General features: G+C 44.3%; 1 protein-coding gene across 34 annotated transcripts in view; it reads right to left on the bottom strand.

Moving 5' to 3' along the window:
• PRUNE2 (prune homolog 2 with BCH domain) overlaps positions 1-15,892 on the bottom strand; it is a 294,739-nt gene that overhangs the window by 86,841 nt on the left and 192,006 nt on the right. For all 34 annotated transcript variants that reach the window (NR_131751.2, XM_047422884.1, XM_017014349.2 and 31 more), the window contains 3 exons: positions 15,347-15,505; positions 6,545-13,142; positions 5,121-5,883 (listed from right to left, as the gene is read on the bottom strand). Coding sequence is in view for 33 of the 34 variants with exons in the window: in XM_047422884.1 (XP_047278840.1) it covers positions 5,121-5,883; positions 6,545-13,142; positions 15,347-15,505 (7,520 nt within the window). In the remaining variant the exon portion in view is untranslated. The remainder of the gene's footprint in view (positions 1-5,120; positions 5,884-6,544; positions 13,143-15,346; positions 15,506-15,892) is intronic.

Here is a 15,892-nt window from a genome sequence, read left to right on the forward strand (position 1 = left end):
TTGTATTTTTAGTACAGACGGGGTTTTGCCGTGTTGGCTAGGCTGGTCTCAAACTCGTGACCTCAGGTGATCCACCCGCTTTGGCCTCCCGAAGTGCTGAGATTACAGGCGTGAGCCACCGTGCCCGGCAAAGGACTTTTAATGATACTTATCACCACCAACTCACCAACATACCACACCAACAGATCAAATATAATTACAAAAATAAATGAACACAGAGTCAGTGCTAAGTTTGTTCTTCCAGGTTTGGTACAGGGCAAAGCCCAAAAATGGTGAATAGGCAAGGGCGCACTGGAGTTTAGAGAGCATCAACTCACCTCTGAGAAACGGCAAATGTTCAGAACTGGGGTACAGCTTGGTCTGCCTGATGTTTCTCAGGGTTCCCATTATCCAACACTGAGAGAAAGAGTCAACTGATTTTTAAAATCTATTTCTCATTTTCAACATTCACGTGGATAAAAGACCCAATGTACTAAACTCCCCAACCATAAGTCATAGACAGAAAAAGTCTGACTTCACGAAAAACAAAAAGATCTCACGGTGTCACTCATAAGCAGAAAGATAAATTCTTTTCTACAATGTTATCAGACATGAAAAAAGGTGAAAATTACTAATTTAAAAAGAAAAGATGCAGACAGATCACCATAGAACCAAATACACTGTGTTCGAAGGTCATCTTTATTTCAGGGAATACTGAATACCTCACCTCACAGAGCTAGGAAACAAGATACAGCTCCACAAGTATGAGGGTCAGGTGATGTCTCAATACTGTTTCAAAAGTACATGACACAACGATTTCCTCTCTTCTCCTTCCCCACCCCACCCCCACCCCCTCCCTCCATCCCCCATGGCTGCCTGTATCTCCAAAAGATTCATCAGTTGAATATCATCCCTTTTCTCAATCCTCTTGGAAATGATTTTTTAAAATTCCCTTGCACATTATTTCCTTGCTCATATCTATGGAAAGCCAATATATCTATATATCGATTATCACATTTTCATATAATTCAGATAGTGACTTTTAAAATTTTAATGACTTAATCCTTGTTTAACATATAGATCAGATTTTTTACTATAACCTGTGATAGTTAATGTTTATGTTTCGACTTGGCTAGGCTATGGTGCCCAGTTATTTGGTCAGACACCAGTTTAGATGTTGTTGTAAAAGTATTTTTTTAGATGTGATTAACATTGAAATAGGCAGACTTTGAGTAAAGCAAATTACCTTCCATAATGTGAGGGGGCCTTCATCCAATCAGATAAAGGTCTTAATAGCAAAGTCTGAAGTTTCCTGAAGAAGAAGGAATTCTCCTGAAGACTGCAGCCCAGAAACCTGCCTGCATTTCCAGCCTGCAGCCCTGCAGAACTCACATTCACGACTGCAATGCTGACTCTTCCTTGAGTTTCCAGGCTGCCAGCTTGCCCTATAGACTTCAGACTTGCCAGCCCCCATAATCGCATGAGCCAATTCCTTAAAATTCTCTCAGTAGCTAGCTAGATAGCAAGATGGAGATCTAAATACAGATATCTCCTATTTGTTCTGTTTTTCTGAAAAACCCTAACATGTAACCAAATTACCCCTTTCTTCACACATCATTCTTCCAATCATGCTTTCTTTAAAATAAACAGCTAAATGTTTCTTCCTTTTAAGAAAGGTCTGTGTGCTACAGATTACCCTGCAAATGTTCTTTGTGACTATGTAGGAAAGATCAGGCACATCCATCACTGTCTTGGGGAACTGGTATTTGATCCCCTGCTGGACAGGTCTATAGCTGGAGGATGACCAAGGTGTTGGCAAAGGATTCTGGAAAGATTGATCCTAGGGAACATGAATGCAGTGCTGCAAATCTCAAGGGAGAGAGGTTATCTTTCAGCCCTAGTAACAAGTTTTGTTAACAAGAGTCAGTAGGTGGCATATGAGGAGAAAAGGCATTTTTCTCATGCTTTCTCAGATTTTCAAAATGTGGCTTGCAGCTCTCAAAACAGTTTGGCAGCTAAGAGAGGCTGAGGCTGAAGGAGGGGAGGGAAGAAGCTGATTTGCAGCTGGTGAGTCATATTGCACATACTATGAACCTATTTCTATTTAAGAAGAGGCTTTCTTAATTTTCTTTTTTGCAGAATGGTCTTGATTTTGGATCTTCTGTTCTATGATCAGATTATGTGTCAGAAGATGTTTCCAGGTTTTTGTTTGGGAAACCACAGCTATCTCATTGTTTTGCTTCTGTGATTACCTTCCTGTCCCCATGGCTTCCTTCATAGTATTCATCCCAGTTCACTCAGCTAGCTTCTTACCCTCTTCTTTGCCTTTCCAAATTATGACCTTTCCTTTAGTGACTTTCATAAGCCCCTTGAGGAGTGCCTTCATAAGCCCCTTCTGTCATTAAAACATTTTTTAAAAATTTATTTTATAACTTTGTTGGTATAAAGACAAATCCACTTGAAAGTATAATAATTTTTTCTTCTGACTATAAAAGAAAATATTCTCATGGGCTCCTTAAAGTATCATGGGCCCTGGGCACTCTGTCTCCTGTGTCTGACAGAGAATAAGCCATTCCTGCTGCCTGCTCCATAAAGGCGCCCGAAACAGATATCTCTCCTCTTATTTCCTCACTTGTATAATTCTTGTCTCGCAGGGTTGCCCTATGTAAAGTGAAATAGCGCAGAGTGCTTAACACCTGGTCCAACAGCAAATAGCCTGTAGTTAGTACCCATTTTATACTTAAACTGACATTGGGCATTGACTAGCTTGACTTAAATATTACACTGCTATCTACCTTTTTACTTATGTCTAACTCTTTAGTTAAACTGTAAACTCCTAGACGGCTGACAGTATGTTTTAAACCAGTGGTTCTCAAGCTTTGGAGGGCATCAGGAGTTGCTGAAGCTCAGCTGGCTGGGCCTCACCCCCAGAGTTCCTGATTCCGGAGGTCTGAGTCGGAGCCGATAATTTGCATTTCTAACAAGTACTCAGGTGATACTGATGCTGCTGTTCTTAGGACCCCACTTAGAGAACCACAGTTTTAGACAACTCTTTATTCTCCCAAAATCTAGCACAGAGGGAGACTTACACATTCACAGTAAATTATTTATGCAAAAGATAATACACATGCCGGAGGGAAAATCTGCCCCATCCCCATTGTGAGAAAAGTTTCAGTACTACAAAAGCTGAGCAGAAAGGGATGAGCAAAGAAATCTTGTTGAAAGAAAAGGTGCTGGTGGCACAATTGAACACTGACTGTCATCTGTTGGATCTCGGGGCATGTGCAAAATGCACACAAGAAGCCAAACAATAGCTCAGCCAACTCATGGCTGCCTGAGTTCTGAGCTCAATCTATAACAATGCCAGCAGGGCTGCTGGGATCCATCTGCTACTCTCTTTCTGATAACGGATCTGGGGTCTCTCTGGAAGAAAATAGCTTGACAGGAAGAAAGAAGGATTAGGCCAGCTGACAATGTCTGGATTTATGAAGCTGCCCTGGAATATGGTAGAGCTTTTAACCCCTTCTGCACTTGGCTAATCCTCAACATACCCCAGCTATTCTTTCCATTGTCCTTGTTCCTTTCATCAAGAAATGTAATTTGTGAATGCCAAAGCTCCCCTGGACACATTCTGTTTCCACACAAATTAAGTTCCCAGAATTTAATACTGCAGGAAGCCTTGAGATCTTTCAGCCCAACTCACTAATTTTACGCATGAGAAAACCTAAGCCTGGGATTAATCCTAAAATGTATAATCAGTCATGGTAGAGGCAGGCTGGAATCCAGATTCCTTGACTCACTGTGGGTATGTGATGTGTATAGTCCTTTACACTCCCAAGCTGAGTAGCAAAAATATATCTTTTCTCGCTTTTTTTTTTTTTTGAGACGGAGTCTGGCTCTGTCACTCAGGCTGGAGTGCAGTCACACGATCTCGGCTCACTGCAACCTCCACCTCCCAGGTTCAAGCAATTCTCCTGTCTCAGCCTCCCAAGTAGCTGGGATTACAGGTGCTGCCACCACCCCAGCTAAGTTTTGAATTTTTAGTAGAGACGGGGTTTCACCATGTTAGCCAGGGTGGTTTCAAACTCCTGACCTCAAGTGATCCACTCACCTTGGGCTCCCAAGGTGTTGGGATTACAGGTATGAACCACCGCACCTGGCCGATATCTTTTCTCTATTACATTTTAAGGAGAAAACATGACTTTCCCCGTTACTTAAGTTACTTTTCACAATTTGTTCTTTTGTCCCTGGAAGCAGGTGGGCTTCATAAACACAAATGAAGAGAAATGAAGAATGCTAAACAGTTTCAGCAGAGACTGGAAGCTTGAGGGCAGTGATGACATCCTATTCCCTGATATATGCCCATTGGCTACCCAGAACCACGGCACAGAGCAAGCTCTCAAAAACCACATGGTGAATGAATGAATGAATGAATCACTGATTTAATGACAGTTTGCCAATTTCTCTGCCAATTAGGGAATGAATGTGTTACACTGAGATTTGGAGACTGCTGTGGAGCCTGTCTCTTATCTAACTATAAGTTAGGTGCTTACATAAAACCAGAAAATGCCTTGTATTTGAAAATATGAAAATGCCTCTGTATGCTAAGCGGTGTGTCAACTGAGAAAGTACAGGCTTTGGAGGTGGCAAGCTTCGAATCCCAGGTGTTCACTCTGGTTACTTAATTCTAGGCAAATTATAGAAAATTTCTGAGCCTTGAATCCCCCTACTCAACCCTACTCCTTCCATTCCCCCCACTGGCATGTTAGGATTAAATGAGATAATGTATGCAAACTGCCTTGCACATAGTAGGTGCTGATTAAATGTTAGTGTCACTTCCTTGTATTCCCAACTGCCTGTTGAAGAGTCATGTAGGTATTCAAGTAGGTGGGGTGGCAGTTGGGGGGTAGGTATAAGACTGAATGAAAATTGAAGGGGCTTTTTGGCTGAAAATGTACATAAATTATCATTATGGTTATAGTTATCTAGTAGCTGCTTTTACTGATGGTGTGCCTTGCATTCAATATAAGCAAAGCTGCTATCATCCAGGTATTCCTCATATTCCATAACCTCTAACCATTTCCCAGGTTTCTAAATAAATTGCTTTTCAGGAAAAAAAATAAATCTAGCTTTTTGCTTACCCATTTGGTCTTGATATCCTGGTTCCGAGCTCAAGGAACTCTGTCTCCTCCTCCATTTCCGTGTCAGGGATCATGTTTTTCTGAACAGGCTGTGGTGAAAGCATTTCCCATTCATTGTCATGGGTGACAGCCTGCAACGTAACTGCATCCGGGCCAGCCCTGCCTCGGCTCTTACTCTTCTGTGATTGGCTGACTGGACCAGAGGCTTCCTCTAGTGCCAAAGATTCTAGAGGCTTCATTTCTTCCAGAATCTGCAGCTGGGGACCCTCACCCAAGCCGAGTTCAGAGAACGGCTCCACAGTCTTGCCAGACCACCCAGGCCCTGAGTCCCTGGCATCCAGTGATGGATCACCAACCTCACTATGGCCCAAGAACATCCAACTCTGGTCTTGTGCAGGGCTTTCAAAAGATGATCTCGTATCGCTTTTAGAAGACATTTTCTCTGCAGAGAGACCTTTTCTTTCATTTAAGGAGGCTGGCTGACATGTGTCTGGGAAGCTTGCTAACTGAGTTCCCTGCAGCCCTGTTTCTTTGGAACCTACATACAATTCTAATTCAGCTATGCTTTCTCTTTCTTCACAGGTCTCTGGCTTTGAGTGTGAATTTTCTTCACGGTTTACAAGTATGTAATCCATGTGTAGTGCATGACGATCTTCATTCTTCTCTGTACATCTTTCTTCCTTGTATTCTGATTTTATCTGCTCAGGCTCTTTGGTAGGAATTGTTTTTTCTTCTTCCAATTCTGATATTTCCTTGCTGGCACCTAGAAGTGGAAGTTGAAAGTGAGAAGAGGAGAAAAAGGTTTAATTAACACATTGTGTGATTTGTGATCCTTGCAAATGATCATCTAAAAGAGGTAATTTAATATTTTTTATATATTTTATTTATTTATTCATTCATTCATTTGAGACAGAGTCCCGCTCTGTCACCCAGGATAGAGTGCAATGGTGTGATCTCGGCTCACTGCAACCTCCACCTCCTGGTTTCAAGCTATTCTTCTGCCTCAGCCTCCCGAGTAGCTGGGACTACAGGCACCTGCCCCCACGCCCAGCTAATTTTTGTATTTTTAGTAGACATGGGGTTTCACCATGCTGCCCAGGCTGGTCTCGAACACCTGACATCAGGTGATCCCCCCTCCTTGGCCTCCCAAAGTGCTGAGATTACAGGCGTGAGCCACCGCGCCCAGCTAGAAAATATTTTTATTTTGTAGAGTCATTCGATTTTCTCGTGCACTATCAGGAATAGGTATTACATATGCACTAGATTTTACTGCTGTTATAATACAGGACTTAGTGAGGCATGCCTTGAAAATGTAGTTAGTTTTCTCTCTACCCTCATTGGTAGGAAGAGTGTGTCTTACAAATATGCACTAGTTTAATCAACGCAGCAGTTTCTTGGAAGTGGAAGAATGGAATGTTTCTTACCATTTGGTGGTCCTATGTCTCCACCTGCTGGTAAATCAGAATTATCTGTTTCTACTTCCCAGTCAACGTTTGATGGAGACAAAATGTTGGAGCCTGCTCCTACCGGCAAATAAACGGACTCAGGGTCTTCACGAATATGCAGCACAGCCAGCTGGGATCCAGGCAGTCTGTTTTTGGTCTCAGCCTGGTTTCCCTCACTTCTTCGATCAGGAAGTGCAGAAAGCACTATCTCTGCTGCTCTGCATCCCAGAGATTCATCCTCTGGAGACCCAGCTTCCTCTATTGTTTCAGCACTCTGGGCAGGTTCTGTGAGATAAGACAAATCAAAGGGAGGTGTGTACGGTGCCAGCGACTGCTTCAGAGAATCTTCCTCCAAAGGAGGGTCACCACCATACAGGAAGTGTTCAGGCTCTCTCAGTAAATCTTCATCGATATTCTGGCCCATTACATCATATTCAAAATCACCCCACGAGGCTTCAGATGAGCAGATATCTTGCTTCCCTAGGTCCCCATCAACTGGCGTTTCCGGATGGCCTTCGGATAATGTCAGTTTACTCATGTCATCTATTGTTCCCGTGGATGTGTTGAGACCTGAGGCATCGCTGAAACTGTGGTCAAAGGCAGCTTCGCTTATATCCAGACAAGTGTCTGAGGCTAGCAAAGCATCAGGAACCAAGGCAGGATTCTCTGTGGATAAATGTGGATCACCATCAAACAAAGCTCTTGCACCAGGCTGACTTTCAGGAGAAAAGCTGTCTGATATCCAAGAACCGTCACCTTCTGGAGTTGGCTCTTGGTGAGTTACAAAAATGCTAGTTGCCACATTTTCAATCCTTGGGATTCTTCTGTCAACTGGTTCCAAAATTGGTGCCATATCTGGGCTGGCTCCTTTTTCTGATACTTGTAAACCTGTACTGTTGTCACCGTTTATTTCAGAAGGTTCAGGTGAACCTTTATGAGAGGCGGGCTGAGAGGAGCCCTTTATGTCTGCTTGATAGCCAATTGGAGGCAGCACAGTTGCGTTTTCAGAATCGAGTTCTGCATTGGATGGGACAAACTCCCGTCCAGGCTCATAAATGGGTTCTTCATCTATCTCTGGCTCAGTGAGACAAAGCTCACTGGATTCCACTTCAGGTCCCATGCAAGCACTGAGGTGCTTCTCAGTCTCTTGCTTTGCTTCAGAATCGTGACATATATCAGGGCTGTCGGAAGCCTGAGAATTGCTGTCATGTTCGCAGTGCGTCAGGATATCAGGATTCTCACCATCTGCTTTCAAACTGAAGGGCTTCTTAGCATCTATCCACAAGTCAGGCGCGGCAGAGGCCAGCTGCCCACCCTCTTGAAAGTTGCCATGTAAAATATCTGGCACAAAGGTACCTCGGGAGTCCTCACTTGGGGTAGAGCCATCCCATTCAGAGCCTGGCTTCATTATCAGTTGGGTGGGAGAACTGACAGCAGGAAAATTTTCTGTGGCAATGCTTGAATTTGTCATCTCACCTAGGTATGATTTTTCTTGTTCCCACTGATTTGTTTCTTGACCTTCATTAGTTGAAACATTAGATGTAACACAACTATTTTCCTCTGCGTGAGTAAAGGCTGTGTCCGGATGATCACAGACTGGCAGCATGGTGTCCTGACACTGCTCTTGGGTAGGTGTTTCAGGAGTCAGCTCATCACCAGCAGCAGACACAAAGGTTTGCTCTCTTGAGTCCTTTTCTTTAATTTGGTCTAATTTTACAAGCTGGCTGAACTTGTCAGCATCTGGGTCTGGCTGCCTTGGTTGAATGTTCCAGAGTTGCTCATGGGAGTTCTTCCCATTACCTTCCAGAAAGGGTGACTGATGGTTGTCACTAAAAGGATTAGTATAGTGTGTTTCCACGGGCTCAATATCACCCTGAACTGGTACTCCCCAGGGACTGGCATTTTGGTGTACTGAAGAATTTATCTCCAACACACCACTGGAGTCAGACAGCTCCCTTTCAAATGGACTTTCAATTAGTCTCCCTTCCTGGGGTGAGGCCTTCCACCACTCAGTGCTATCAGCTGAGAAGCCCAGCATTTCCAGTTGAGAATTATCTTCGTTCTTTGGGAACGAAGCTTTGGGAGATATTTGCCATGCAACATCTCCTGTTGTCCCTGTTTCTGGAGAAGATCTCTTCTCCTTCTCCACTGCTGTAATCTGCATTTCAGTCTCCGTTAATGGTGAGAAAGTCCAGGGATCAGGGCTGCTTTGTTGATTGTCACAGAATGGGTTTGACTTATTCTCATTCTCTGCTGGCTCTGAGCTGTCTAGGTAGTCATAAATATTTTCAGACTTAGGATCAGCTGTGACCAAGAACTTATTAGATTCATTCAATGAATCCCAAGCTCTGGATTCATCCTCAGCAACGTGGCAGTTGGCCACCTGGATCTCTTCCTCTATTGACTCTTCACCACCGACACTGTCATCATCAGAACCTGAGCTTGTTGAAATGACCCTGGCATCCTCTGGCTGCACAGTTGCAGAAATGTCATGTTCATTTTTCTCCTGGTAGCTAGCAATTAGATTGCTTTCCTGATGTGTCCCTGAATGTTCAGAATATTTGCCTGTTTCAGGACTGGATAAAGAGGAAAAGGAATCACCATCAACTGAGTCATTCCAGATCTCTAAAAATGTAGGAGTTTTGCGATCAAAGCTCTTTTCAAACTCATTTATTCTGTTTTTCTCTAAATCCTTCACTTTGGTAACTATTTCTACTTGGCCATCAGTGGTAATTAGTTCAGATTCTTGGTGATTCTGTTCACTCCAGTTGCCTTGGTTTTCTTCTTGATACCCAGAACTGGGTTGCTGGCCCCAGGAGGACAGTGCAACTGAAGAGTCATTTAACTCAGGACTTGATGCACTTGAATGAGTATACTCACTAGAAATAGTATCTCTGTCAAAATTTCCAGACGAACCGGCTCCTGGAAGGCTATTTTCAGACCCCTTAACGTCAAGATTTTTGGTTATCTCAGAACATGTGCTGCTGACATGCACATCACTGTCTATAGGGACGTCCCCAAAATCAAGACTTCGGGGAACTCTGTGAGGTGGCCCTCCACCCACGTTCTCTGGCTCTAGAAAGTTACATTCTTCAGTTTTCTCAAGATCCTTTTCAGGTACAGATACATATTTTGTGAAATTCATCCCATCTGAAGTCTCAGTAGTTTCACCTGAATTTCTTTGACTCATGAGGTGTTTTTCATGGGTATCTTTTGGCTGCAGGTTATCTGCGGACATCCCTGTTTGCACATCACGGGAGTCTAGATTGTAAGACCCCTCCTCATACTCTAAAACTTCCTCTGGTTCCTCGGTTTGAGGACTGAAAGTGACAGCAAGAGAGCTGATTTTGCCTGATTTAATGCAGATTTCCTGATGTTCAGATGCAACCAGAGAAGACAGTTCCTGGTCACTCTGCCCTTTTTCAGAAATCCCTGAGGCATTCTCCACACCAGAGGCGATCACCTCCTCTTCATCAAGGTGCCCCCTGTCAGTGGCTCCCTGGGCTTCCTTCTCACTTTCACTTTGTCCATCGCCATGACCTTTCCATGGATCTGGGTGTGGAAAATACCCTGGATTCTCAAGCCTAGTCGCCAAGGATGCTGCATCACTTTGCAGGGTTTCCCTCTCTGTGTCCTGCTTGTCAAGATGAGATATAAGTGCCTCTGATTCACTGGTTCCAGAGGCTGCTGGCGCATCTGGGGAATGAGTGTCTTTAACATTTGCTGAATGGCTGGGGATTTCAGGAGGCAATTCCCTTTGCTCTGAATCTGTGATATGTGAGGAGCCTGGTAACATGAATGATGACATGTCTTTATCTCTCATGACAGAATCCCAAATACTGTTTGCAATTAGCTGCCCACTTTTCTCATTCAATGTGTGATGTTCACTGGGAGCACTGTCCTTGGTATGCTCATCAGAGGCAGGGAGCTCCCAATCTACCTGATTTGCTTCCTGATACTCCAAGCCCCAGGGTTCCAGCTGTCTCACTGTAAATCGGGTTTCCGGCTCGGAACCTTCAGCCATGTATCCTTCTGTTTGACCATCACTGGGGATTGCCGCACCCCCACTGCAGTCATCCCAGTCCAAATCATTGTCCATATCTGAGATCGTTGCAGTGGACTGAGTATCCTCCAAAATCACTCTGTTCCACAAGTCGAGACTGTCAGGGGCCGTCTGCCGGGAGTTGGTGCTGCTGTGCAAAAGTGTGAGTTGTCGGTTTGTTTCATTGTACAGTTGCATCATGCTGGGGTCGTCGTAACTGGACTGGCTGCTTTCCCCGACGTCATCCTCCATGGAGATATTCTTACCATCTGTGTGCTCTGTCTTGAGTTCATTTTCATCCAGGTTGTGAGTGGTATTTATTTCAGAACTGTTATCTGTATGAGGTGAAGCCCACATGTCTAGGTTCCCAGGACCTGAACTGATTCGATTTCGAGATGACTGTTGCAGTGACTGAGGAGGAATGTCAGTCTCCTCTGCCGTGGAGTTACCATCTTTTGACTCAAAACCTTCCTCTTTAGCAAATGGCTTGTGTTCAGTTTCCTTTTCGTCTCCAGCAAATGTTGGTGATGTGTAAGAGTCTGAGGTGGAATAATTGGTATCTAAGGGGGAAGGCACCGAATCTTCTCCTAGGTTGGATGCACTGTAATCAGAACATTTGTAAGATAAGAAGGAATCTTCCCAAGGAACTAGGACATCTGACCCTCCTTTCTTCATATTCTCCTCAAAAAGGTTCCAGGAATCTACCTTTTCATATACCTTGCCCCTAGTTTTAGGATCCACTAAACCATTCTGATCTTCTTTTGGTGGCTTAGAATTAGTCCATGTGTGATCCAGATCAGAACTGGGATTTCCAGGTGCAAAGATGTGATCCCTGGAGTCATTGTTTTTCTTGCCCCAGATTTCTGGAGCTGCTTCATTGTTTATCTCACTGGGTGAATTGTCCAGTAGTTCTGAAGAAGAAAAGGCAAACCCACTTTTTGCCATGGCCCACTCATTCGGGTCCCTAACAGAAGGTGTCTTGCTGCTTGTTGGGTGCAAATTCCAGGTATTTTTTAAAGCTTCATCATGATCTTCTTTACCAAATGCACTCCAGGCTGGGAATGGCGCCACAGCTGCTGGTTCACCATCATCTGTAGGATTTCCCCAGGGCTCGGGCATGGCTGTGGGAGAGCGACCAGAATGCCACAAAGAAGCAAAGTCTTCTATCAGGTGGTTTGTTCCTTGGGGAGATGTATTTGGCAAAGGTGACTTCTCCATGGGCAGGTTCTGGAACGGCAAGCTTTCCTCATTTTTGTCTTGAATATCATTGCTACCCAGTTCAGGCTGACCAAATTCAGACTCCCAGGGACCTGACTTTGTAAATTCGAGGCTCTTTGGTTGAAATACAGAATCTGAGGCTCTCCTATCAATGGAGCTTGGCTTATGCTCTTTCCATGATTCAGGGCTCTGGAAAACAGATTCCTGTTCACTGGAACTCCACGCATCTGCAATATTTTTGGAGTCAATTTCCAAACCACCCCACCAGCTGCTGCACCGTGCATGGGTCTGAGGTGGCCCCATGTGACCTGTGTCAGTTGCTTTTTGGGTCATATCTTCTGTATAGAGTGAGGCTGGTTCTTCAGTGGATGGCGAGCTTTCTACTAAACTATTCATGGGTGTTGGTGGGATCCTCTTTCCAGTATTTTTTAGCCTTTCTGGGGAAGGGGATTCATCTCCCACAAAATCTGTCAGGCTCAAATTTCTTTCAGAGTTATCTCTGGGACTGTCTTGTCTCTGGACAAACTCCTCATCATGTTCCACAAGGCTATCTTTGCCAGCCCCTGACAAAAGTGAACTGGATGAATAATTAGACATGTTGGTTCCCATGCCATCAAGTCCTTCAGGCCCAGCGGGGAGCTGTCCTTCTGACAGGTCACTGTTGGGGAAGAAGTCATCTGCTGGGGAGTAGTCTGCAGAATGAGAAGATTGCTGGGACTGCCCAGAAGCCATGGGTGCTGGGTCAAAATTGAAGAGGTCGAAGTGCTCACCGTGTTCTCCAGACCATGCATGTTCCTCCGCCACCGCCCCTTCAGGGATGGGGCTGTAGGAGTCAAGCCCTGGGAGAAGGGTGTGGTGAGGCCCAGCACCTTCTCCCACGGGGCTGTCGTCACTGAGGAAAACAGAGCTCTCCTTGGATGAGCGGCTGCTCCTAATGGTAGCCAGTCCGCTGTCTGGGCTAACAAGGTCTACATTGGCATCCACCTGAGCCTGGTTAGAATCATTGAGATCTGGAGGGTTCTCTATGAAATTCACAGAGCTGGGTTGTGGCTCTATGTCAGAACCATACAATTCCATAATCCCAGAAGACCCCTGGGAGAGGGGGGCACTGCCTGCCACGGCTTCTGTTGAGGATGTCCGGCTATTGGAGACCATCTCTGGACACCTCCTGTTGATGACTTCCTTGACAACGAGAACCACCTGATCACAAGTCACTGAAGGGTCCTCTTGTTGGTACACCAGGATCTCATCACAGCCACAGTCAAAGGGCTCCAGTTCTAGGCAAGGGTTCTGACACTCTTCCAGCTCACAGCAAATCTGTCGGAAGGCACAGGAATTTGTGTCAGCACTCAAGCACTGTTGCACTTTGCAATTGCACTTTGCAATTTATCTCGCTTAATTTTTAAATATAAAATTAATCTGTGTTCATCTGTCTGAAAAAGAAGATCTCAAACTTAGAAAGTTCTGATTACTGTACCACCAACCCTTTCTCCAATTCTATCCAACTGTCTCTCTGTTTAATTCAAAATCCAGGTGCTCGATTTTGAAGGCTCCTGAACGTTTGGGTAAAGGAGTTTAAACCACCTATTCTTTCCTAACTGTAATATAATACCATCTTCCAATAGCAATGTAATTCGAGTTGCAAAAAAGCAGAGATAATGCATGTTGCTGACAACTATAGGAAAAGTGTTGGAATAAGGGGACAATATCAGGAGACAGGCTGTTGTTTGGGAGGGGGCAGCCAGGGCTGCTTGAACCTCTGATAGCTTCAGAATGCAAAAGAGAGAGTAGGAAAGACAAAGATGCTCCCGCAGTCTGATCTTTCCGAACAGCACTCAGGACCCCTCAGTCCCTTTCACCCCAGGTAACGGAGGCATGGAGCCCAAAACAGGCAAAGCTAACCTGGGAGGCAAGGGGACACTGACGGATGGTCAGTGTGAGGCCAGAACTGGGTTACGGCTTTCTGATTTTTAAGGAATGTCAGGAGTATTTTGTTGTGCTGGGCCTTTGAAATGGCCCCACGGGATTAGTAGAGATAAAATTAATAATAATAATAACAACCACCACTACCACCATGGAGCTCACATAGATACTACTACTACTACTAATTAACATTTATTGAGTGCTTTCATGTGCCAGGCATGGTTCTAAGGGTTTTATGATCATTATCTCTTTTAATCACCACAGTAATTCCACAAGGTAGGAACTCTTTTTATTCCTATTTTACCCATGAAGAAATGAAGATACAGGAAGATTAAATAACTTGTCCAGCAACACACAGCTAACAAGTGCTGGAGCCTGAGTTCTGTACCCAGGCAACCTAGCTGCAAAGGCTGACTCGGCCAGTGGTGTGACCACACAGGCCAAGAGGAACTCGCTAGGCCAGAGCCAGGACTCTGTTGCTTAAGATTCCAGCGATCCACCTCTGGCTATTGCTAGGATGGGGAGGGTGGGTGGGGAGAAGAGAGGAGGACTGGGGTCAACTCAAGAGCTTTTAACTCCTTCATCTGCTCTTCTACTTTTGTCTGTTTCCAATGAACCAATTTTCACATTGGTTTGAAAAAGGGGTCTACTGCTAAAAGTGATGTGAAAGCCGCCATGTTGTAGGCTTCCAAGGCCTAAATCCCGTCCCTGGGAAGCCAGTGACCAAAGATGAAATTTAGCTTTGAAACCAAATGCAGAGGAAAGTGATGAAAAAACCACAGGCTGGTGATGCAGGTCAGAGGAGGAGATGCTCTTTCACATTCGGACTTGAGAGAGCCCGAGAGTACCCATAGGCATGGGTCAAGAGAGCTACAGTGGAGCTCTTGGGGGACAGAAAGGAGGATGTAGAAAAGAAAGGGGCAGAGACTGTGCCTCTAGCCACCCATGGATACATAAGGCATTGAATCCATTAGTGAAGAGAAATAAGTAATGAAGCATCTGGGGCCCCGTGTGGCTCCTATTATAATGAATCATGTATGTTCTCATATTAGTTATTAAGTACACCTGGCTTGGTATATCCGATGGCCTATTTTGATTAATTTATCTAATTCTTTTTTTTTTTTATTTCCTAGGCCTTGGGTTAAAAGACTCAGCTATCAACCTGGAGGATAACTGATTACCTAGTCAGAGTTCTGGTACCTGGAGACAAACTAACTTTGATTAAAGCATCAGATCACCAGGTCTTAAACACTGGGCACCAAACCGGTCCTGGGACAGGGGCTAAACCTTGTCAGTTATGATCAGGGAGCAGTCCTAGAAGAAAATAGCACCCAAAGGAGAACTTGCTCTTTTGGGAATGAGAAAGAGCTAATGTTTTGCACTATGGATTCAGTCAAGAAGAGAAATGCTTTTGGGGCTTTCTTAAAAGGCCAAATGTAAAAAGTACCCCCATCATTTCCTAAAACTCAAACCTCTAGGACTCTACCTCTTGGGCTAATTGCTCATGAGCCACCAATCTGTTCTGTCTTGCACTGTGTGTTCTGAGAGCCAGCAGGTTAGGACAGAGGGAACATGACGGGGTCAGAGGAGGGGCTCACCTGACTGCACAGCTCCATGTTTTCTGAGTACACAGCAATCTGTCGTCTCGGCTGCTGCTCCTCTGACAGATAGCTGGAGAACAGGATGAGGACATCAAAACCAAACTTGTCTGTAAATGCTTTCAAGTCACTGGTAATATTGCTGTGAAATAGACAATTCTGAAACGACAACAGGAAATTTGATATTAATGTCAAACTGCCCAGCTGCGGGGAGTTGTTCCACAAATTTGTCCAGTCTTATGATGTATTTAGGAGAGATATTTATTATTTAAGGCAAGTGAAATACAGTTTGCTTTGAGAAGGAGTGGAAACTTTCATGCTATGGCTTAAAATACACTTTGCTTGTTTGTTTTCCCAAACCATGTAAGAAAGGAGTTTTTGCCATTATTAATAATAGTTTAGACAAAGAACAGATATCCTAAACATTTTTTTCTAAAATATTTATTCAGATGCTTAATTTGCAAATCCTATTTTCCCTCTTGTCGCTTATAGGATCTATATACGAATGTCTGCTATTGTTACAATTTATCACAATAAGAATAGGAG

The sequence above is a fragment of the Homo sapiens genome, chromosome 9, assembly GCF_000001405.40.
Source record: "Homo sapiens chromosome 9, GRCh38.p14 Primary Assembly".
Classification (NCBI taxonomy): Eukaryota; Metazoa; Chordata; class Mammalia; order Primates; family Hominidae; genus Homo; species Homo sapiens.